At 42.3% G+C, this 24,293-nt stretch overlaps 1 protein-coding gene and 1 pseudogene across 2 annotated transcripts in view; one reads left to right on the top strand and one right to left on the bottom strand.

Moving 5' to 3' along the window:
- NEBL (nebulette) overlaps positions 1-24,293 on the top strand; it is a 513,078-nt gene that overhangs the window by 40,613 nt on the left and 448,172 nt on the right. The window contains exons 2-3 of one of the 2 annotated variants that reach the window (NM_001377327.1): positions 610-706; positions 4,449-4,517. The exons of the other annotated variant lie outside the window; for it this stretch is intronic. The gene's annotated coding sequence lies outside the window, so the exon portion shown is untranslated. The remainder of the gene's footprint in view (positions 1-609; positions 707-4,448; positions 4,518-24,293) is intronic. 2 annotated transcript variants of the gene reach the window in all.
- Positions 4,342-4,688, bottom strand: LUZP4P1 (leucine zipper protein 4 pseudogene 1; annotated as a pseudogene).

The following is a 24,293-nucleotide window of genomic DNA, read 5'->3' as shown; positions in this document are numbered from 1 at the left end:
CCTGTAACAAGGCTAATATAAAATATCTATCTATCTATCAATCAATCAATCAACATAATTCTGCTTTCTGCTTTTTTTGTCTGTCTTTAGTGCTTGTGTGATTTTCCACATATTCTGCCAGGGGCATTTACTTGCCTTGGGAAGGATTAGAGTTATTACACACAATTGCAAAAAGAAAGAATCAATGGTAAGTGTTAGATATCCAAAATAGGATATTTGAGTCCACAGCAAGACTATTGAAAACCAGACTGTAATAGAGGAAGTGTTTTCTAAGTTTCTTAAGCTCCCTTTAATACTTCAAAAGCCGGAGACTTTTCTATAAGCCAAGGCTATGAGGTACATGAGAAGTAGGAGAAGTTGATGCCCTTTAGTCCTGAGGACACAGAATGAAGAGAAGCGGAGGGCGGGGAAGCTGTGAGGCCTGACTTCCCTCCTTGGACTGGCATCCTGGGAGGTGGGGCTGGTTTTAGATGGGGAGAGAGGGAAGTGGAGAGCTGAGAAGGCTTTATCTTGTTCTCCATTTTGAGGTCTGTTTTAGTCTTTTTGGGCTGTGATGACCAAATACCATAAACTGGGTAGATATAAACAATAGAAATTTATTCCTCACAGTTCTTGACGTTGGGAAGTCCAAGATCAAGACGCTGGCAGATTCCTTCCTGGTTCATGGATGGCCATCTTTTCTCTGTGTCCTCATATGGCAAAAGGGGTAAGGGGTTTCTCTGGGGCCTTTTTTATAGGGGTGTTAATCCCGTTCATGAGAGTGGAGCTTCTCAAAAGCCCTACTTCCAAATGCCATTACATTGGTATTAGGATTTAACATACACATTTTTGGGGAATTGGGAGAAGAGAGATACAAACATTCAGTCTCTAACAAGGTCTCTTGGAGAAGGGACATCTGCAGAGACCTTATTTCCTAATAAGGTTACATTCACAGGTTTCAGGTGGAATTTTGGGAGAACACCATTCAACCTACTACATAGCCTGAGAAAATCTTAATATTAAATACTGAACATTCATCTGAAAGAGATTGACCTAACTGAAATAGACTATTACAACCTGATGAGACTGAGATACCATTAACTGGCTAGTTCAGATAGCCCTACCCCGACCTGGCCACAGCTACCAAGAGGGATGAGGGTCATAAGATTAAACTGTTCCAGAAAATGAACAAGCTATGTTTTTTATTTCTATCTTACTAATTTTGAGGTTAAAATGGCCACATCACTGTGTACCTGGCTAGCTCCTACTCCAAAAGGAAGTAAAAGAAACAGCTACTACCAGATCAGTGTAATCAAGGTAAAATATCACAAGCAAAAATAATACAATCTTGGGTAGTGTAGAAGGGAGAAGGAAGATGAGAAAATGATTATACTAAATAACTAGGTTTAAGAGGAACAATTGCAATTCATCAAAAAGTACTTCTTCTTAGTTCTGAGTTTCTTCTCAACCCAGAAAATAAAGGAAAAATGAAAAATGACAAGGACTTCATTACTTAGTAAAAAGAAACATACCATATTGCCAAAAGATTATTATTATTATTTTTTGAAATGGAGTCTTGCTCTTGTTGCCCAGGCTGGAGTGCAATGGCGTGATCTCAGCTCACTGCAACCTCCTCCTTCTGGGTTCAAGTGATTCTCCTGCCTCACAGTTGCCTACCACCATGCCTGGCTAATTTTTTTTTGTATTTTTAGTAGAGACGGGGTTTCACCATGTTGGCCAGGCTGGTCTTGAACCCCTGAACTCAGGTGATCCACCTGCCTTGGCCTCCCAAAGTGCTGGGATTACAGGCGTGAACCACCGAGCCCGGCCAGGTTTTTTAAAAGTTTAAAAAGTACTGGATATGAGAGGCTCTGTCATAAAGGACATTTATAGAGGAAACATAAATTGTATTAGGGTTCTCTAGAGGGATGGAACTAACAGGATATGTATATGTATATATATAAAGGGTGGTTTATTAAGTAGTATTAACTTACACAATCACAAGGTCCCACAATAGGCTGTCTGCAAGCCAAGCTGAGGAGAAAGGAAGCCAGTCCAAGTCCCAAAGCTGAAGACCTTGGAGTCTGATGTTCCAGGGCAGGAAGCATCCAGCATGGGAGAAAGATGTAGGCTGGGAGGCTAGGCCAATCTAGCCTTTTTATGTTTTTCTGCCTGCTTTATATCCTGGCCGAGCTGGCAGCTGATTAGATGGTGCCCACTCAGATTAAGGGTGCATCTGCCTTTCTCAGCTCATGGACTCAAACATTAATCTCCTTTGACAAAACCCTCACAGACACACCAAGGATCAATACTTTGTATCCTTCAATCCAATCAAGTTGACACTCAGTATTAACCATCACAGAGATCCATTGTGAAATATGATTTCTTTTTTTTTTGAGACGGAGTTTTGCTCTGTCACCAGGCTGGAGTGCACTGGCGTGATCTTGGCTCATTGCAACCTCTGCCTCTAGGGCTCAAGTGATACTTGTACCTCAGCCTCCCAAGTAGCTGGGATTACAGGTGTGTACCACCACACCCAGTCAATTTTTATATTTTTATTAGAGACGGGATTTTGCCATGTTGGTCAGGCTGGTCTCAAACCCCTGACCTCAGGTGATCCACCCACCTCAGCCTCCCGAAGTGCTGGGATTGCAGGTGTGAGCCACTGCACCCAGCCAGGAAACATTTTAAAAGGCTTTTATTTATTTATTTAATTTATTTCTATTCATTTATTTTCCCCACTTAAAGAGCTTTTTAAAGATACATGTAATATTTGAATCATGATTCTAAATATGATATTAAATAAAATAATAAATAAATTTAAAAGTAAATAAAATAGATAAAAATAAAATATAAAAAATAAAATTTAAATAAAATATTTAAATAGGACCCTTACCTTACCTAAGATCACTATTGAAATTAACTCAAAATGGGTGAAATAGCTAAATGTAAGAGCTAAAACCATAAAACTCTTGTAGTAGGGAAAAGCTTCATGACACTGGATTGGGTCATGATTTTTTGGTTGTAACACTCACAGCATGGGCAACAAAAGAAAAATAGACAAATTGAATTTCACCAAAATTAGAAACTTTTGTACATTGAAGGACACTATCAGCAGATTTGTAAATATCTTCTCCCATTCTGTGGGTCAAATGGAAGAAAATACTTTCAAATCACGTATCTCATAAAGGATTAATATCCAGAATATATAAATAACTCCTAAGATTCAACGACAAAAAGTACCAAACAACCCAATTAAAAAATGGGGCTGGGTATGGTGCTCATGCCTGTAACTCAAGTGCTTTGGGAGGCTGAGGTGGCAGGATCACTTCAGATCAGGAGTTTGAGGCTGGAGTGAACTATGATCATGCCACTGCACTCCAGCCTGGGTGATAGAGTGAGACCCTGTCTCTCAAAGCAAAAACAAAAACAAAAACAAAAACACCCAAAAATGAGCAAAGGACTTAAATAGATATTTCTCTAAAGAAGATCTACAAATGGTTAATAAGCACAATGAAATGATGCTCAATGTCATTAATCATTAGGGAAATGCAAATCAAAACCACAATGAGACATCACTTCATACCCATTGGGATGTCTATTGTCAAAAAAAAAAACAAAACAGAAAACAACAAAGATTGGCAAGGTGGAGAAATTGGAACCCTTGTGCATTGCTGGTGCAAAGGCAAAATGGTGCAGCCGCCATGGAAAATGGTATGGTGGTTTGTCAAAAAATTAAATATAGAATCACCATAGGATTCAACAACTCTACTCCTGGGCATATACGCAAAAATATTGAAGGCAGGGACTCAAACAGATATTTATAACCTCATGTTCATAGCAGCATTATTCACAATAACCAAAAGATGGAAACAACATGAGCATCCATTGATAGATCAATGGGTAAGCAAAATGTGATCTACATGTATCGAATGTTCTTCAGTCCTAATAAGGAATAGAATTCTGACACATGATACAACATGGATGAATCTTGAGGACATTATGCTGAGTGAAATAAGCCAGACACAAAGGGACAAATTTTGCATGATTCCACTTATTTTTTTAAATACATTTCTTCACTGCAAGGTAATTTTTTTTTTTTCTAGTGAGTTTGGCTGTAGTGATAGTCTCAAAAGTTTCAAAAGTATGAGCAATAGAAGGATGCTTTCCCAGCCTGGGCAACATAGTGAGACCTCATCTCTACAGAAAAGAAAAAAAAAATTAGCAGGGCATGGTGGCATATGCCTGTAGTCCCAGCTACTTAGGAGGCTGAGGTGGGAGGATTACTTGAGCCCGGGAGGTCGAGGGGGCAGCGAGCCATGATTGCACCACTGCATTCCAGCCTGGGCAACAGAATGAGACCCTGATCAGTTAAAGGCTGCCCATTTAAAGGGTGCCGTCCAGACTTGAATCCAGAAGTTTCTTGGGATGGTTTTTTTTTTTTTTTTAATCATAATTTCCTTCCTCAGAGTTGCTTCTGAATCTTGGGTATCCTCTCTGCTGGTGATGTCCATGAGCATTTGATTGCTGTCTTGAAGGTGAATCCTTTTTACTATGGTTCTTTTATTCTTTTTCAGCGTTTATCTCTTCTAACTTTTTATAGATTATAATGTCATCTAGAGACATATCTAGGAAATTAAACTTTGTCCAGCTGGGATGATTTGTCAGCACTTTTTCAGAAAGTGTTAGGTTATGAAGTGAAGCCATCTCCTCTGTGTCACAGCACCACACTCTGCATGATTTCACATGTATGAGGTACCTAGAATAGGTAAATTCATACAGACAGGAAGCACAACAGTGGTTACCAGGGACTTGGGGAAGCAGCAAATAGGGGAATTATTGCTTAATGGGAACAGATTTTCAGTAGAGGATGAAGCAGACCAGCCACTTGCTGAGGATGATGAGGTGAAAAATTAGAAAGACCCCATGTCTCTGGCTATGTTAGGGAGTCCCTACATCAATCCTGGAGCTGCCCTACTCCTGTGATCTAAATTTTCTTTGCTCCCCCAACTCCAACCCCAGACAGCTACCGATCTGGTTTTCATCATTATAGTTTTGTCTTCTAGCGAATGTCAAGTGAAAATAATCATACAGTAAATAATCTTTTGAGACTGCTTCTTTCACTTAGCATAATGCCTGAGATTCATCCAAGTTGTTGTATCAATAGTCTGTTCCATTTTATTGCTGAATAGTATTCCGTTGTACGTATATTAGTCTGTTCTCACACTGCTATAAATAACTGTGAGACTGGGTAATTTATGAAGGAAAGAGGTTTAATTGACTTACAGTTCCACAGGCTACACAGGAAGCATAGCGGGGGAGTCCTCAGGAAACTTACAATCATGGAGGAAGGGCAAAGGGGAAGCAGGCACATCTTCACATGGTGGAACAGGGGAGAGAGAGAGTGAAGGGGGAGGTGCTACACACTTTTAAACTGCCAGATCTCATGAGAACTCACTCACTATCACGAGAACAGCAAGGGGGAAATTCACACCCATGATCCAATCACCTCCTACCATGTTCCTCCCCCAACACTGGGAATTACAATTTGACGTGAGATTTGGGTGGGGACACAGAGCCAAACTATATCAGTATGGATATACCAATTTATTTTTTTTCTTCTTTGAGATAGAGTCTCACTCTGTCACCCAGGCTGGAGTGCAGTGGTGTGATCATGACTCACTGCAACCTCAAAACTCCTGGGCTCAAGCAATCCTCCTGCTCAGCCTCCAGAGCAGCTGGAACTACAGGCATGCACCACCACGCTCGATGATTTTTTTATTTTAATTTTTTTGTAGAGACCAGGTCTCTACAAAAACTTCTGGCCTCAGGTGATCCTCCTGCCTTGGCCTCCCAAAGCACTAGGCAGGCTGGTCTCAGACTCCTGGCCTCAAGTGATCCTCTTGCACTGGCCTCCCAAAGTGCTAGGATTACAGGCGTGAGCCATTGTGCCTGGCCCAATTAAAAAAAAAGGACTCACTTATCCCTTGAAGGATATTTGAGTGGTTTTCAGTTTTTGGCAAATATGAATAGAATTGCTATAAACCTTCACGTCCCAGTTTTTGTATGACGTAACATTTTCCTTTTCTAAGGTTAATACCCAGCAGTGGGATTACTGGGTTATATGGCGAGTGTATGTTAAATATTGTAAGAACTGCCCAGAGGGGCTATACCATTTCACATTTCTACTAGTGAAGTTTTAGTTGCGTCACATTCTCACCATCACTTGGTAGAACAAATATTTTTTAAACACTTGGCATGGTGCAAGGTGTTGAGGAAAGGCAGAGAAGACACAGTCCCTGCTCTAGAGGAGTTTGTGGTCAAGTTTATCAAAAGTCTGTAGAGTAACTGCATCAAGGTCACACAGCGCACTCCTCCTGTTCACTACCAAGTTGTTCTGATGAAGTGAATGTAGCTCTGTGTGGGGACACAGAAGGAAAAAAGTATATAAAAAAGTAATATATGGCTGGGTGCGGTGGCTCATGCCTATAATCCCAGCACTCTGGGAGGCTGAGGCGGGCGGATCACGAGGTCAGGAGATCGAGACCATCCTGGCTCACACAGTGAAACCCCATCTCTACTAAAGATACAAAAAATTAGCCAGGCGTAGTGGTGGGCACCTGTAATGCTAGCTACTTGGGAGGCTGAGGCAGGAGAATGGTGTGAACCCAGGAGGTGGAGCTTGCAGTGAGTGGAGATTGCACCTCCAGCCTGGGCAACAGAGCAAGACTTCGTCTCCATGCCCAGCTAATACAAAAAATTAGCCGGGCATGGTGGTGGGCACCTGCAATTCCAGCTACTTGGGAGGCTGAGGCAGGAGAATCACTTGAACCCAGGAGGTGGAGGTTGCAGTGAGCCAAGATCGTGCCATTGCAGTCCAGCCTGGGTGACAGAGGCAGACTGTGTCTCAAAACAACAACAACAACAACAAACCCAAACAGAACCTAATTCAAGATCAGAAAATATGAATAAATGCAAGGATAAATCCCTACTTCCCTACCGGGGCAGACTTCTTATAGTTAAATAGTTAATTTGATAGATAACATTTATCATTAAGCTTATGTAATGTATTCAGTATGATATTCAAAACAGAATAAAACATACCATAGTTTAACATGCACCTTGTCTGAACTGAGAAATTCTCTGATGCTTCTCAGAAGCATTGGTCAAACTCACTGTTTCTACAGGTGTTTAAGATTTCTGCTCTCTTAGGTTGAGTATTCTCTCCTTCTTCCCAGATGTTTTCTTTCAGGATGTGGACCTTTATAAATGCTGACTTTTTATTTTTATTTTTTGAGAAAGAGTCTTGCTCCGTTGCCCAGGCTGGAGTGCAGTAACATGATCATAGCTCACAGCAGCCTCAACCACCCAGGCTCAAGTGATCCTCCCACCTCATCTCCTCTGAATAGCTGGGTCTACAGGCTTGTGCCACCATGCCTGGCTAATTAAATTTTTTTTTTTTTTTTTAGAGACAGCATCTTGCTGTGTTAACCAGGCTGGTCTCGAATTCATGGGCTCAAGCAATTCTCCCATCTTGGCCTCCTGAAGTGCTGGGATTACAGGCATGTGCTATTGCACTTGGCCTGACTTTTAATTTTTACTTTTATTTTTTAGAGGTGAGGGTCTCACTGTGTTGCTCAGGCTGAACTTGAACTTCTAAACTCAAGTGATCCTCCTGCCCTCAGCCTGCTCGGTAGCTGGGACTACAGTTGTGTGCCACCATGCCTGGCCTAATTTATTTATTTTTTATTTTAAGTTTTAATTTTTAATTTTTTAAAAAAATTTTTAGTTTAATTTTATTTTTTTGAGACAGAGTCTTGCTCTTTTCGCCCAGGCTGGAGTGCAGTGGTGCAATCTTGGCTCATTGCAACCTCTATCTCCCAGGTTCAAGCGATTCTCCTGTCTCAGCCTTCCAAGCAGCTGGGATTACAGGCGCCGGCCACCATGCCCGGCTAATTCTTGTATTTTTAGTAGAGATGGGGTTTCACCATGTTAGCCAGGCTGGTCTTGAACTCCTGACCTCAGGTCATCTGCCTGCCTCAGGCTTCCAAGGTACTGGGATTACAGGCATGAGCCACTGCACCCAGTGAAACCAAGTCTCTACTGAAAAAAAAAAAATACAAAATTTAGCTGGGCATGGTGGCAGGTGCCTGTAATCCCAACTACTCAGGTGGCTGAGGCAGGAGAATCACTTGAACCCAAGAGGCAGAGGTTGCAGTGAGCCAAGATCGGGCCACACTGCGCTCCAGCTTGGGAGACAGAGTAAGACTGTCAAAAAACAAAAAGAATAAGCTTAGGGAGTGGAAAGTTGTGACATTCAAGATTTGGCCTGGGGAAAGATTGAAAGGGGTGAGATGAAGAATTGCTGATTTTCATTATTATTTTTTAGTTTAAAAAAACTTATTTAAAAATAAATCACATCTTGATAAAAAACATGCCTTTCTTTCCTTTCTTCCCTTTCTTCCCTTTCCTTCCTTCCCTCCCTTCCCTCCCTTCCGTCCTCTTCCCCTTCCCCTTCCCTTTCCCTTTCCCTTTCCCTTTCGCCTTCCTTCCTTCCTTCCTCTCTCTCTCTCTTTCTTTTTTTGCTCAAAAGTGTATTTGGACCTGGGAATAAACTTTTCTTTCGCTGTTTCTACTGTGCTATCTGTACGCCTAGGGGAATGTGTGCAGAATGTCCCCATTGCCGCTGTGTGTGGGGAGAATGCGGAAAGGAAGCGCAGGTTGAAATTTGCAAATGTTCAATCCCCCTACCTCATGGGGATAAAGCCTTGGCACCTCCCTCTTACAGTTACTGAAATTTTTAAAGAAATAATGCTTGTGAAATGACTGGCATGATTCCTGGTGTGTCATAACGAGCCAATACACATAATTAGTTAATGATAATATGGGCCAGGCATGGTGGCTCAAGAGGATCACTTGAGGCCAGGAGTATGAGACCACCCTGGCCAACATGGCAAAACCCCATCTCTACTAAAAATACAAAAATTAGCGAGGCGTGATGGCGTGCACCTGTAATCCCAGCTACTTCAGAGGCTGAGGCAGGAGAATTGCTTGAACCTGGGAGGCAGAGGTTGCAGTGAGCTGAGATTGTACCACTGCACTCCAGTCTAGGCGACAGCATGCAACCGTACCCTGACTCAAAAAAAAAAAAAAAAAAAAAGAATGCTCAATCACCCAGGGGAATTTGCCTACAGAGGGGCTAGGTCATGCTTGGTCCTGCGGGTTGACAAGATGTCCGCAAAGGTCTAGATATCTTGAATGGATGTCTACCATGATTTTAATCTCACTCAGTAGACACTTCCCACTCCCGGAACAGGAGCAGTGGCAACAGGTTCTAAGTGGAGACTCATCAGAGTGTAGCAATCAGCTTTCTTATCAGCTTCCCTGATCATGCATTCCTTCAGGTGGGCATGGCTGCAAAAGCAAAGGTCAAAGGCTTCTGAGACCCTCATAAGATCAGAAACACTATTTACCCAAAACCCTGCCACCCAAAGGAGACTGCCTGATTTCCCAAGGCAGGGGTGTGCTTGGGGCTCATTGTGGCTTTTTTCTTTCTGTTCTTCTCACCCCCAAACATTGCTTGTTGACATTTCATAGCTCACTCTGCCTGAGACTTGGTTTACAGCTTCCTTAGATAAAGGTGTTTGGACAAGCTAGCTCTTTTTCCAGTCCTAGCTTGAAAAACAGTCAATTCTTTTAGCCACTGGGTATATTGAAATGCTTCCAGTACTTTGTAAATACAAACTACCTATAGGATTATTAGTGTAGTGGCTCCTTCCTCAATTTACCCAAGTGAGTTGTGCACCTCTCGGCCAGTACAGCAGGATGTTTCTTTTTTTTAAAAAAACTTTTATTTTAGGCTCAGGGTACATGTGCAGGTTTGTTTTACAGGTAATTGTGTGTCATGGGGGTTTGGTGTACGGATTATTTTGTCATCCAGGTAATAAGCATAGTACCTGATAGGTAGTTTTTCAGTCCTCACCCACCACCCTCATCAGGCCCCGGTGTCTGTTATTCCCTTCTTTGTGTCCGTGTATTTTCAACGTTTAGCTCCCGTTATACGTGAGAACATGCAGTATTTGGTTTTCTGTTCCTGCATTAGTTCACTTAGGATAAAGGCCTCCAGCTCCATCCATGTTGCTGCAAAGCACGTGATCTCATTCTTTTTATGGCTGCATAGTATTCCATGGTGTGTATGTACCACATTTTCTTTACAGAACATTTCTTTTCTTTTCTTTTCTTTTTTTTCCTTTTGAGACAGGGTCTTGCTCTGTCACCCAGGCTGGAGCACAGTGGTGGCGTGATCTTGGCTCACTCCAACTTCTGCCTCCCAGGCTCAAGTGATTCTCCCATCTTAGCTTCCCAAGTAGCTGGGACCACAGGTGTGTGCCACCACACCCAGCTAATTTTTATATTTTGTGTACACATGGGGTTTCACTATGTTGCCCAGGCTGGCCTTGAACTCCTGGGCTCAAGAGATCCACACACCTCAGCCTCCCAAAGTGCTAGGATTACAGGCGTGAGCCTCTGCTCCTGGCCTACAGAACGTTTCTTAGATGAGCTGTGGGTCCATTCAATGACCAAGATGTACTAAGACAGAAATGGAATCCCAGGTCTATAAAGAACTTGATGACTTTACAAAGTGTCACCAGGTTAATGTCTTTTAATTCCTCTTTAATGCTGATAGCATTGTCACCACCCTGCTGACCACGCTGAACTCAAATGCCCGGGTGGTGGCCTGGTTTCCGTATAGGCATAGGAACCTCCTTACCTAGGCTCCACATCTGGCTCTCCAGATGTGGAGAAAAATCTTGCATGTCTTTCTCCCTTTTTCAGCCTGTAGCAAATGACTTATTGAGAACATGACAATGAAGCACAAACAGAATGTTCTGGAAGAGTATACACTAAGAACATTTTTCTGGCACGAAGGCAGAAATGTCAGCCATGGTTGTGTTACTGCTGAGTTGACTTCATTGCAAAACATACCATCCCTCTAGGGGAATGCTTGAAGTAGGAGAGATGTTTCCAAAAGCTACAGGAAGCAGAACAGCCACAGATGCGCCGCCTGGAACGGGAATGCAACCCAGGGGGCCGAACAAGCTCATCCCGCAGGCGGCCCCCTGGTGGCCTGGCTCAGGCTGGCTCTTGGTCCTTTTGATTGATTTTTATTTTTATTTATTTATTTATTTATTTATTTATTTATTTATTTATTTTGCTGGCATCGGGGTTTTCTAGCTTCTGGACTCTGTGAAGGAGCTCATTCCATGTTCGAGAGATATAACACAAACCTGAAATCAGGACATAAGCCTGAATGTAAGCCAAGAAATAAACACGTGAAAGGGTAGTGAAACATATTTCAATCTGGGAAGAACTCCTCTTTTCACAAATCTGTGAAGCTGATAAAAATAAAGCCACAGAAGAAACAGGAAATATGATCGTGAAAGCCCCAAAAATGGGGCTCAGTAGAAAATTCTCAACATGCCAAAAGTTGTAGACAGTTTGATACTGGTTTTGTGTGTGTGTGTGTGTGTGTGTGTGTGTGTGTGTGTGTATGTGTGCGTGTTTTGCCCTGTTCTGTTCTGAAAATGAGTGTTCCTCCTCCTTTTCTTCCCAGGAGATAAAATTCTATTGTAACTATTTTCTTCTAAACTTACAATTTTACTTACTTATCCTAACCCAGAAAAAAACTAAAAGATGGTATATTATTTTATATTCTGAACTTGTAACATCATTTGTTAGAAATGTAAAAACATTAAAAACCAAATCCCAGAATAACTTGTAACGATATTAAATATTGCTTTTATATTTCACACATCTAATATCATGGCTTTTTTTTGTGTGTGACAATGTGTAGCTCTGTCGCCCAGGCTGGAGTGCAGTAGCGCGATTTTGGGTTTAAGCAATTCTCCTGCCCCAGCCTCCCAAGTAGCTGGGATTACAGGCGAGTGCCACCACACCCAGCTAATTTTTGTGTTTTTAGTAGAGATGGGGTTTCACCATGTTGGCCAGGCTGGTCTCGAACTCTTGACCTCAGGTGATCCTCCTGCCTTGGTACCCAAAGTGCTGGGATTACAGGCGTGAGCCACTGCTCCCGGTCACATCATGGCTTTTTAAAAAAATGAACCAAGCGATTGATTTTCCTTAGACTATACTTACATGCAACGAATCTCTACGATCCTAAACTAACAAAGGGATTTTCAGTGTGTAAAATGCACTGAAAAGCTAGAAATACAGGGAGAATCCAATTTGTGAATATATTAGGTTCCAAGAGTTTTGTCGGTAACTTAGCTGGTTTGAACTAAGAAAACGTTCCTGCTAGAAAGAGATATACCAGCTATGTACAGGTTGTTAGGCTAGTTTACAAAATTCTGTTTTGCTTCTATTTTATTGTACCAACAGGAATACAGATATTGACTACCGTTTACTGCATTTTTTTTTTTTTTGAGGCAGAGTCTCGCTCTGTCACCCAGGCTGGAGTGCAGTGGCGCAATCTCGGCTCACTGCAAGCTCTGCCTCCCGGGTTCATGCCATTCTCCTGCCTCAGCCTCCAGAGTAGCTGGGACTACAGGTGACCGCCACGATGCCCGGCTAATTTTTTGTATTTTTAGTAGAGATGGGGTTTCACCATGTTAGCTAGGATGGTCTTGATCTCCTGACCTTGTAATCCGCCCACCTCAACCTCCAAAGTGCTGGGATTACAGGCGTGAGCCACCGCGCCCTGCCACTTACTGCATTTTTTAACAATAAAATCTGTTCTGAGTTTGGACGAGGCTGGCTAAGATCACATTTGCACTGGCAGTCCCAAGGGAGAAGGGTCAAGGCCCCGAATGTTCTGGCACTTGGGAGAGGGATTCAGAGGCTGGAATAGAGTACAAAGAAGAGACCTCCCAGAGCTTTTAGGGGAGCAGCACTCTAAAAATTCTGGGTTTGGGGGTCTTGCAGATAAGTCCTTTCAGTGAGCCTGACAGGACTGGAAAAGACTAAGGCAGGAGTGAGAAAATGGGATGTGGGGGTGCAGAGTGGGACAGCATTTCAGGGTATCTGTTTCCCTTGGTATCTAGTCAGCAGCAGCTGACTAGATCCCTGAAAAAATAATTGGATCTCTTCAAACGACTATTTCTTGGCATTTTTATGTTTAATGAAGAGTAAACTATTCAGCATCTGAACATCAGGCCAAAGCTCATTTTCACGTGTTTGTTTAAAAAAAAAAGTAAAATGCACTATGTTTGCCACCTCACCAGGACGAGTTGGAACAGACTTGGGACTATTATTCAGGGGCTTTGGGCAGTAGAGATAACCAACCCAGGCAATTCAAGATAGAAGACTTGGCTTATCAGAATTATTAAAGCTGTGTAGCTTTATCATCTATGAAACAAAAGATGTATTTATCTTGAAAACCATTTCTAGTGCAGTTTTAATTTATCACAGAAACAAGAGTTTCAGGCCTGGCATTCTTATAAAATGGTACTCAGTCTACAAAGGGTTTGAAAGGGAATTTTGAGTCAAACACGCTGTAGCCCTGAGTTTCCTATGTTGTCAAGGTAACCAAAGCGTCTGTTTTCTTGGTAACTTGAACCTTCCAAATCAACATCAGACACACCTTGAAAAGTAACTAGTCAGACACCTGCCACTGAGTTATACAGGCTTTTGGGGGGGATCTTAAAAGAAAAGAAAGAACCATTTCTTCTTTTCCTCCTCCTCTCCCCTCAACCTTCTCTTTTTTTTTTTTTTTTTTTTTTTTTAATTTTTTTGAGATGGAGTTTCGCTTTTATTGCCCAGGCCGGAGTGTAATGGCGCGAGGGCTCACTGCAACCTCCGCCTCCCAGGTTCAAGTGATTCTCCTGCCTCAGCATCCCCAGTAGCTGGGATTACAGGCATGCACCATCAAGCCCAGCTAATTTTGGTATTTTTTTTTTTTTTCAGTAGAGATGGGGTTTCACCATGCTGGTCAGGCTGGTCTTGAACTCCTGACCTCAGGTGATCAGCCTGCCTCAGCCTCCCAAAGTGCTGGGATTACAGGCGTGAGCCACCGGGCCCGGCCCAACTTTCTTAACTTTAAAGGAAAAACATCATACTCACTTTTATGAAATGCAAAGCTAGATTATGCCTCTGAGCTCTTAGGAAAAAGTACAAACTATTTTAGACATTCACCTGGACATTGTTACATGATAATTGTCAATCTATAAAATTACCCTTTCCCCTGAAATGACTCACTTTACGGAAAATGTGTGTATACTTCCTTGACTTTCTCCCAACTGTTGTTGAGGGTGACATAACACAAGGCCAGGACACCTGATACCACACCTGAAAGTTGAGACTCTATTTTTGCTTTGCACCCCAGGTAAAATCAGACCAGAACAAGGAAGAAAGCATTCATTAGGTGAACATATTTATTAAGAGCTCTCCGTGTTCCAGGAATTCTGGTAGCTGCTGCATGGGCTGTAGGGATGAAGACACTTAGTCTGTTTGCTCAAAGGTTTATAGATCACTGAGGGGTCTAAGGCAAGAAAACTAACAATAAATTAAGGTAGAATAGAACATCAGGGAGATATGGCTGGATGTGGTGCCTCATGCTCGTAATCCCAGCACTTTGGGAGATTGAGGCGGGTGGATCACCTGAGGTCAGGAGTTCGAGACCAGCCCAGCCAACATGGTGAAACCCAGTCTCTATTAAAAATACAAAAATTAGCCAGGCTTGGTGGCATACACCTGTAGTCTCAGCTACTCAGGAGGCTGAGGCAGGAGAATTTCTTGAACCCGGGAGGTGGAGGTTGCAGTGAGCTGACATGGTGCTACTGCCCTCCAGCCTGGGTGACAGAGCAAGACCCTGTCTCACAAAAAAGAACATCAGGGAGATAGAAAGATATGAGGGAGATGCTGTATGGTCTCCAAGGAAGACCAGATGTCAATTAGATGTTAACAGAAAAAAAGGCTTCATGAAAGATGTCATATTAGGCAGGGCGCAGTGGCTCATGCCTGTAATCCCAGCACTTTGGGAGGCTGAAGTGGGTGGATAACCTGAGGTCAGGAGTTTGAGACCAGCCTGGCCAACACGGTGAAACCTCGTCTCTACTAAAAATACAAACATTAGCCAGGTGTGGTGGCTTGCGCCTGTAATCTTAGCTACTCGGGAGGCTGAGGCAGGAGAATTGCTTGAACCCGGGAAGGGGAGGTTGCAGTGAGTTGAGATTGCGCTACTGCACTCCAGCCTGGGCAACAGAGTGACACTCTATCTCAAACAAAACAAAACAAACCAAAACAAAAGCAAACAAACAAAAAAAGAAAGATGTCATATTTGAAACAGGCTTTGACAGGATTTTGACAATGGATTTTTTATGGAGGAGGTTATTTAAGATGCAGAGTAGAGAGGGATCTACAAAACACGAAAGTTCAAGGAGTGTAAGTGATCAAGATCAAGCATTTGGGCTTAGGTGTCAGGCTGCCTGGGTTTAAATCCCAACTCTACTGAATTCGAGTCTGTGACTTTGGGTCAGTTACTAACCGATGCCTTGGTCCTCTCTCTATAAAGGGGGAATAATAATAGTACCTATCTTACTAGGTAGTTATGAGAACTAATTTATTTAAGATGTGAAACTCTTGGAACTGTTCCTGACTTACAGTAAAGGCTTTAGAAATGTTAGTGATTGTTGTAGTTGTTAGTGGAGTTTAGTAGGTGGTGCAGTGTTTATGAGTCTAGAAAGAGTTTGGGGTTCATTTTGGGGCCTAAATTACGTCAGATTTAAATTTATATTTAATTTGATAGGCCATGGGGAAATCTTCAAAGATTTTATTTTTTCAAAGTAGGTGAGTGGCCTGGCACAGTGGCTCACACCTGCAATCCTAGCACTTTGGGAGGCCAAGGCGGGCAGATCACCTGAGGTCAGGAGTTCGAGACCAGCCTGGCCAACATGGCAAAACCTTGTCTCTACTAAAAATACAAAAAATTAGCCAGGCGTGGTCGTGTGCACCTGTAGTCCCAGCTACTCGGAAGGCTGAGGTATGAGAATTGCTTGAACCTGGGCAATGGAGGTTGCAGTGGGCTGAGATTGCACCACTGCACTCCAGCCTGGGCAACAGAACAACACTCTGTCTCAAAAAAAAAAAAAAAAAAAATTAAAAAAAGGAATAAAATAAAGTAGGTGAGTAACAAAACCAGAATGACAAAACATGAGGAAGCAACATTGTAAAATTCAGTTGTTAAATTCTTTGTAGGCTTTTTAAAGATTTCTAGCTATAACTCCAAACTGCTAACCATGCTAAGATTTCCCTCCCATGATTGAGACTGTGAGCTATTGTGAATTGATTTGATATGAAACACCTGTAGAAAGAATTACTGAATGCTAATCTTGTACAGTGAAAAGAAAATCATTCCAGAGGGGAACGACTTCTGTTTTGTCATATAAATAAAGACTACGGGGGTTATGAATGTCAAAGCTGGTGGCCTTGAACCCTTCTCAACCACAAGGGGCCATAAGACTGTGCAACATATCATTTTTTAAAAAGTCGTTTCTTTTCCATTTTGTAATATGTTCTCAGAGATTTGACTGATGACCTATGTTTCAGGAAGCATGAATGATCGCCACATCTCAGATGAGATGGGTGTGTCATAAATCGATGCACAATGTAGTAAAACACTTTTTCTGTCTTGACACATCCCTGATCCCTAATTATAGTTGAAAATCAAATATATTTTTTAAAACAGGCAGAAATCTATAAGAATGTTATCAAGTTTTTATTTGCTATTCCCAGTTCATAGGTGCTAGTTAATCTGCTGCCCCCAATGACTTATGCCATCTCATATTCACTTTTGGGAGAACAACTGTTGAATTCTAAAAATGCTTATGGGCCTGGCGCAGTGGCTTACGCCTGTTATCCCAGCACTTTGGGAGGCTGAGGTGGCTGCATCGCTGGAGGCCAGGAGTTCGAGACCAGCCTGTCCATAATGGCGAAACCCTGTCTCTACCAACAATACAAAAATTAGCTGGGCGTGGTCTCAGGCACCTGTAGTCCCAGCTACTAGGGAGGCTGAGGCAGGAGAATCGCTTGAACCCGAGATCGCGCCACTGCAGTCCAGCCTGGGTGACAGAGCAAGATTCTGTCTTTAAATAAATAAATAAAAACACTTATGTTTTTGGATTTTTTAACATTTGGATTTTTTTTTAAGAGATAGGGTCTCACTCTGTCATCCAGGCTGGACTGCAGTGGCACAGTCGTAGCTCACTGCAGCCGCAACCTCCTGGACTCAAGTGATCCTCCCGCTTCAGCTTCCCGAGCAGCTGGGACTACAGGCGCACACCACCATGCCCAGCTAATTTTTGTACGTTTTTGTAGAAATGGCATCTCACTATGTTGCCCAGGCTGGTCTGGAACTACCAGGCTCAAGTGCTCCTCCTGTCTTGGCCTCCCAAAATGCTGGGACCACAGGCGAGTGCCACCACGCCTGGCTACTTTTTGTTTTGTGATTGCTTCCTGGCTCTTGTTCTATAATCTTCTTAGGTCCTCTCCTTTCTCTCTGTTAAAGAGGCCTTGGGTGTTGGTTATATCTCACCGTTGAGCCTTGTTTTGGCCTGTACCGGAGGAAACCAGCTGTTCCATATAACTTCCCTCCAGACAAATCAATGACCTTAAGTGTTCTGAAACTTCAGGGCAGAGTGCTGCTGAGTGACGGTGAACTGGAGGTGGCCACTGTGGGTTCAGCTGGCTTCTCTGCAGACATTAAAGCTGATTTGGTCTCTGTTTAGGAAGCCAGATTTCTGATCCCAGTCGGCTGAGGTTCTCTGGGAGATGGATAGCAGTGTGGGCTGGAGCAGAGAGAGGGGGATTAACAGCACGTCACTGCTCAATGGAAAGCAGGGTCTGTGTTAGTCAGTTTTACACTGCTCTAAAGGAACACCTGAGACTGGGTAATTTATAATGAAAAGAGGTTTAATTGACTCACAGTTCTGTAGCCTGTACAGGAAGCATGGTGTTGGCATCTGCTCTGCTTCTGGTGAGACCACAGGGAGCTTTTACCCATAGCAGGTGAAGTGGGAGAGGCAGGTGAATTACATGAAGAGAGAGGGTGCATGAGAGAGAAGGTGGTGGCGCCAGGCTCTTTAAACAACCCGCTCTCTGGTGAACTCATTACTGATAGGATAGCACCAAGCTGTTCATAAGGGATCGGCCCACATGATCCAAATTCCTCCCACCAGACCCCACCTCCAACACCGGGGATTACATTTCAACATGTGATTTGGAGGAAACTACATCAGGTCCAGCGTCTCTGAATCCAAATCCACTTTGGCATAGGAAAGTCAAATCCACTCACCCCCTTTTCAACAAGTAGCTCTTTTATAATATTTCCAGTCCAGTCCAGTCCAGTCCAGTCCTAAAAATAATACTTTCCTGGAGTGTTTAGCTTTCTTGGAGATATCTATCTATCTATCTATCTATCTATCTATCTATCTATCTCACAATCTCCTAAATTATACTACTTATAATTTAGGAAGGATGCATCTATACTAACGCACATCCAGCATATATATATATATGTAATATATATCCATATATATGCATATATATGTAATATATATCTATATATGCATATATATGTAATATATATCTATATATGTAATATATATCCATATATATGCATATATATGTAATATATATCTATATATGTAATATATATGCATATATATGCATTTATATGTAATATATATCTATATGTAATATATATCTATATATGTAATATATATCCATATATATGCATATATAAATATGTCTCTATATCTAGATATACATATATAGATATATATCTATATATGTATATATAGATAAGTCTCTCTATATAGATATATATCTATATATGTATATATAGATACATAAATATGTACATGTGTATATATATCCATATCTATATATGTATGTATATATGCATATATATCTATAGAGATATATATGATATAGATATAGTTATGTATGCATACATTTATCTATATCTCTGCTGGATGTGTGTTAGTATGGAAGAGTCCTTCCCAAATTATAAGTACTAAATGTCAGATGACCAAATATGCTCTTACAATTCTGAATAGTGTGCCAGAGTTTGGAGCAAGTCAAGAGAAGTGGTTGAGGCTGGGTGCAGTGGCTCATGCCTGTAATCCCTGCACTTTGGGAGGCCAAGGCGGGCAGATTGCTTGAGCCCAGGAGTTCGAGACCAACCTGGGCAACATGATGAAACCTCATCTCTACAATAAATACAAAATTTAGCGAGTGCCTGTAGTCCCAGCTACACAGAAGGCTGAGGTGGGAATTGCTGGAGCTTGGGAGGTGGAGGTTGCAGTGAACCAACATTGTGCCATTGTACTCCAGCCTTGGTAACAGAGTGAGACTCTGTCTCAATAAAAAAGAAATGTGGTTGAACCTAAGATAGGAAAAGGCATTGTCCTTGATTCCTGTTTTTCCTTCATGGCTCATCTTCAATTGCTCAGCAAGTATTTTTGGTTCTGTCTTCAAACTATACCCTGAGATTGACTACTTTTCACTTTTTCTAATGCTACTGTTCTAGTTTGAGTTGGAATCATCTCTCCTGAACTACTGCAACTTCTGATAGAGCTGCTGCTTTTGCTTTTGGCTTTTTGTGGTCTAGTTTTCTGTAGAAACTTAAGTGATTGTTTGAAAATGTAAGTCAGACCATGTCACTCTTTTGCTCAAAACCCTGTGAAGCAGGGGTCTCCAACCCCCAAACCCAGGCCACTGACTGGTACCTGTCTGTCTCCCCATCACTTGAATTACCACGTGAGCTCCGCCTCATCAGATCTGCAGCAGTGCTAGATTCTCATAGAAGCGCAAACCCTATTGTGAACTGCTCATGTGAAGGATCTAGGTTGCATGCTCCTTATGAAAATCTAATGCCTGATGACCTGTTACTGTCTCCCTGCATCCCCAGATAGGACTGTCTAGTTGCAGGAAAACAACCTCAGGGCTCCCACTGATTGTACATTATGGTGAGTTGTACAATTATTTCCTCATATATTACAATGTAATAATAACAGAAATAAAGTGCACAATAAATGTAATGGGTTTGAATCATCCTGAAACCACCCCCCGACCGACCCTTGGTCTGTGGCAAATTTGTGTTCCACTTAACAGGTCCCTGGTGCCAAAAAGGTTGGGGACTGCTGCTCTAAAGCTTTTCTGGACTATCTAAAGTCAAATCCAAGTTCTGTATTATGGGTTGCAGAGAATTGCATGGTCTATGGCTACTTTGCTCTCTAACCTTGTTTCCTATGCTTCTTCTTGCCTCCTCCTGCTGGCAAGAGAAAAAGAAGAGAGAGAGAGAGAAAAAAAAACAACAACCCTGTGGCAGTTGGAACATAGTTTATTCTCGAAGCGTAGGGAAGTGTGACTTAACCCTTGTCTGGCATGGCTTTGGGTCCTATTTATAATTTGATATCATATTGTCATGAAGAGCATTTTTTGGTTTTATGATCCCTATTTTAACACTAATGCTGATCAGTTGTGTATAAACCGCAAAAGGGAGGGGGCATAGCGAGGTGTGTCTGGCCTCCCATCCTGCCATGCCTGGGAATTAAGTTTTCAAGTTTTTTTTCTGAAGTGTCCTTGGCCAAGAGGGGGTCTGTTCCATGGTTGGAGGGCGTAGAATTTTATTTTTAGTTTTCATCTTGTTTCCTACCCTTCTCCCTACCTCCTCCTGCTGATGCCTTTCTATTCTTTGAACTTGGCAAATTCGTTTTGCCTCGGGGCTTTGACTGCCTTATTTGGCTTTCAGGAACGTTCTCTCCCCAGATCTTCATGCCCCTGTTCACTGTACCTTCCTCTGATGTTCTCTCCTGACTGTAATACTGTTCCCTTGCCCCACATTGTTCTGTCTCATTATCCTCTTTTCTTTTTCTTTTCTTTTCTTTTCTTGTTTTTTTTTGAGACAGAGTCTCGCTCTGTTGCCCAGGCTGGAGTGCAGTGGCGCCATCTCGGCTCATTGCAACCTCCTCCCCCGAGTTCAAGCGATTCCCCTGCCTCAGCCTTCCGAGTAGCTGGGATTACAGGCGTGTGCCACCAAGCCTGGCTAATTTTTGCATTTTTAGTAGAGATAGGGTTTCACCATGTTGGCCAGGCTGGTCTTGAACTCCTGACCTCAGGTGATCTGCCCACCTCAGCCTCCCAAAGTGCTGGGATTACAGATGTGAGCCACTGCGCCCAGCCTTTTATTTTTCTTCACAGCACATGTTTGCTTGTCTCCTCCACTGGAATGTAAGTTCCATAAAGGTGGCTCTTTTGGCTTTCTTGTTCATCACTGCATCCACCAAGCCAAGAAGTGCTCGCACATCGCGAGGACACAGCAAGAACGAATGAATGAATACATCAACTTGTGTCCTTATGCCTCTTAGCAAAGCATGATTGTGAATCAATTGACTTTCTTTTGGTCCATGGATCGTGCTTCATTTGGACGGAAGACATACAGTAAAGCAGAATTTTAATAGCTTTCAGTTTAATTAAATGATTAATAAGAAATGGACTGGCATGGGGGTTCCTTTTCGTTTCTTAAGACTCTTGGTGGCTAGGCACAGTGGCTCATGCCTGTAATCACAACACTTTGGGAGGCCGAGGACAGTGGATCACTTGATCCCAGGAGTTCAAGACCAGCCTGAGCAACATGGTGAAACCCCATCTCTACCAAAAATACAGAAATTAGCTGGGCTTGGCGGTGGGTGCCTTTAATCCCAGCTACTTGGGAGGCTGAGGCAGGAGAAACGCTTGAACCCAGGGGGCGGAGGTTGCAGTGAACCAAGATCACGCCGCTGCACTCCAGCCTGGGCGACAGAGCGAGCCCCTGTCTCAAAAAAAAAAAAAAAAAAGGTTTCCAGTTTGCAGATGATCTTAAGCTTAAAATTCAAGTAGAGTTCCTCCATTTTCTCTCAAAACAAAAGGGAATAGAAAAAGCTCTGAGAAAGTGAGATTGTTGACACATTCATCTTGAAACCATAGTAATTTACATTTTAATAAATCATGTTGAATTCTCAGAAGCATGACATGGGAAGGAAACTAACATTTTTCTTTCTTTTTTTAAGTGAGCAGTTACTTTCTCCCATGTAATGTGCTTTAACATGCATGCTCAGCTCATCCTAGGACAGGTGTTGTTAGCCCTTTAGAGATAAGGAAGTTGAGAATGAGAAAATGTACATGGTTGCCATAGGTCATAGTGAAGATCAGAAGGGAGATTCAAATCCAGCTTGACTCACTCCCAAGCCCATATTCTTTATATTTCTTTAGACCCCCTCACATGTGGAAAACTAGGGTGAGAATCTCACAGGTATATTTGAATTATTTTTATGGGCTGTCAAAATTCCAATTTAAAAATGAAATGGAATGTTTGCATCTGAAAACACCACAGCAGGAATCTCTAACCCAAGAGATGGAATTATCTGATGAACCATGAACTGGAGAAAGAAGAGTTGATTCATTTTGAAAAATAGTGCCTGCCAACTACATTAGCGGAGTGGCCACCCCATGCAGGGCACCGAGCTAGGCAACGTGGGTTACATATAAAAGGAAAAGCTTCTGCTCTGAATGATTTCTGATAATGTCAGGCTCCCACATGAGGTTTACCAGGTCAGTTCACTACACGCCAGACTCTGTGCTGGCACATGTTATCCCCATTTTACATACAAAGGTATGTGACGTGGTCAAGGTTACCAGCTGGTGTGTTACAGAGACGTGACTGAAAGCTAGGCCCATCTGCTCCTGTCGACATCTTTATTCAGTTGGATATATCCCCTCCTACCTTCTTGAGAGATACAGAATAGAAATGAAACAAGTGGGAATAAAAACTGTTGAAAATAACACCACTTACTCTCCAGTCAGATGAGAGCTGAGGGAGTTTCAGTAGAGGGTGAAATTCATGGTAGACAGTCGTAAGACATAACATGCTCTTCTTAAAACTTCTGAGATTCAGAGAAATGACTAATTCATGCTGCCTTTTTAAACATTATTCCAAATTGGTAACATTTTATTATATTATTTCCCTCCCCCACTTTTTTCTGAGACAGGGTCCCCCTCTGTTACCCAGGTTGGAGTGCAGTGGCATGATCACGGCTCATTGCAGACTCAACCACTCGGGCTCAAGTGATTCTCCCACGTCAGTTTCCCAGGTAGCTGGGACCACAGGTGCACACTTCCATGCCTGGATAATATTTATATTTTTAGTAGAGGTAGGCCTTTGCCATGTTGCCTAGGCTTGTCTGTAACTCCTGGGCTCAAGTGATCTGCCCGCCTTGGCCTCCCAAAGTGCTGGGATTACAGGTGTTAGCCATTGCACCTGGCTTTAATTATCTTATTATATGGAATTTATACTACTCAGTACAGATTAGAGTATAGGGAGGTAACAAATAGTCCCAAATTGTAACAGATTTTTTTTTTTCCCACTTACACTCTATGTCCACTATGGGTTGGTGGGAGCTCTGCTTCATGTCCTAATTTATCCTTACTGGGATGCAGGCTATGACAGAGGAAATAGAGAGCTCTGGAGAGTCCAACAGTTCACTTCCACCTCAACCCATGGGCTACTACTAACTCTTGGGTCCCATCCAAGCACAAGGGCAGTAAGAAGTGCAGGGATTTAGAAATAGTCCATGAGTAAAATGAATGACTGTAACAGGCCTGCAGTTGGGGCAAAGGTTTCATAAGGTACAATTACATTTCTTGAATCTAATATCTCCATTATGGTTATATTTTAGAAATTTTATTTATGGAAAGTAATTTAGGATAAAATTCAAGTTAAATGTATGATGACTGTTTTTAATTTTTAAAAATGACTGTTTTTATTAACCATTTAAAAGTGATTTAATAAAATTATTTTGCTTTTCCTTAGATTCTAATCTGTAAAAATGTACCTGTTCTTTACCTGTCTTTAGAGAGCAACCCATGTGGATGATAGATCTGCCAGGGAGCAAGATGGTCTAATTGTCCCTGGCCAATTCAAAAAAATCACCCATTAAAAACTTTGGATTGGCCAGGCACAGTTGCTCATGCCTGTAATCGTAGCACTTTGGAAGGCTGAGGCGAGAGGATTGTTTAAGGCCACAAGTCTGAGACCAGCCTGGGCAAAAAGTGAGACCCCATTTCTATAAAAAAGTTTAAAAATGACCTGGGTGTGGTGGTTTTTACCTGTAGTCCCAGCTACTCTGGAAGCTGAGGCGGGAGCATTGCGTGACTTCAGGAGTTTGAGGGTGTAGTGAGTCGTGATTGCCCCACTGCACTCCAGCCTGGGTGACACAGTGAGATCCTGTTTAAAAAACAAATAAGCAAACAAACAAAGA

This window comes from Homo sapiens, chromosome 10, assembly GCF_000001405.40.
Source record: "Homo sapiens chromosome 10, GRCh38.p14 Primary Assembly".
Classification (NCBI taxonomy): Eukaryota; Metazoa; Chordata; class Mammalia; order Primates; family Hominidae; genus Homo; species Homo sapiens.
The sequence above is the reverse complement of the archived record's forward strand: the minus strand, read 5'-3'. Positions and strand labels throughout refer to the sequence as shown.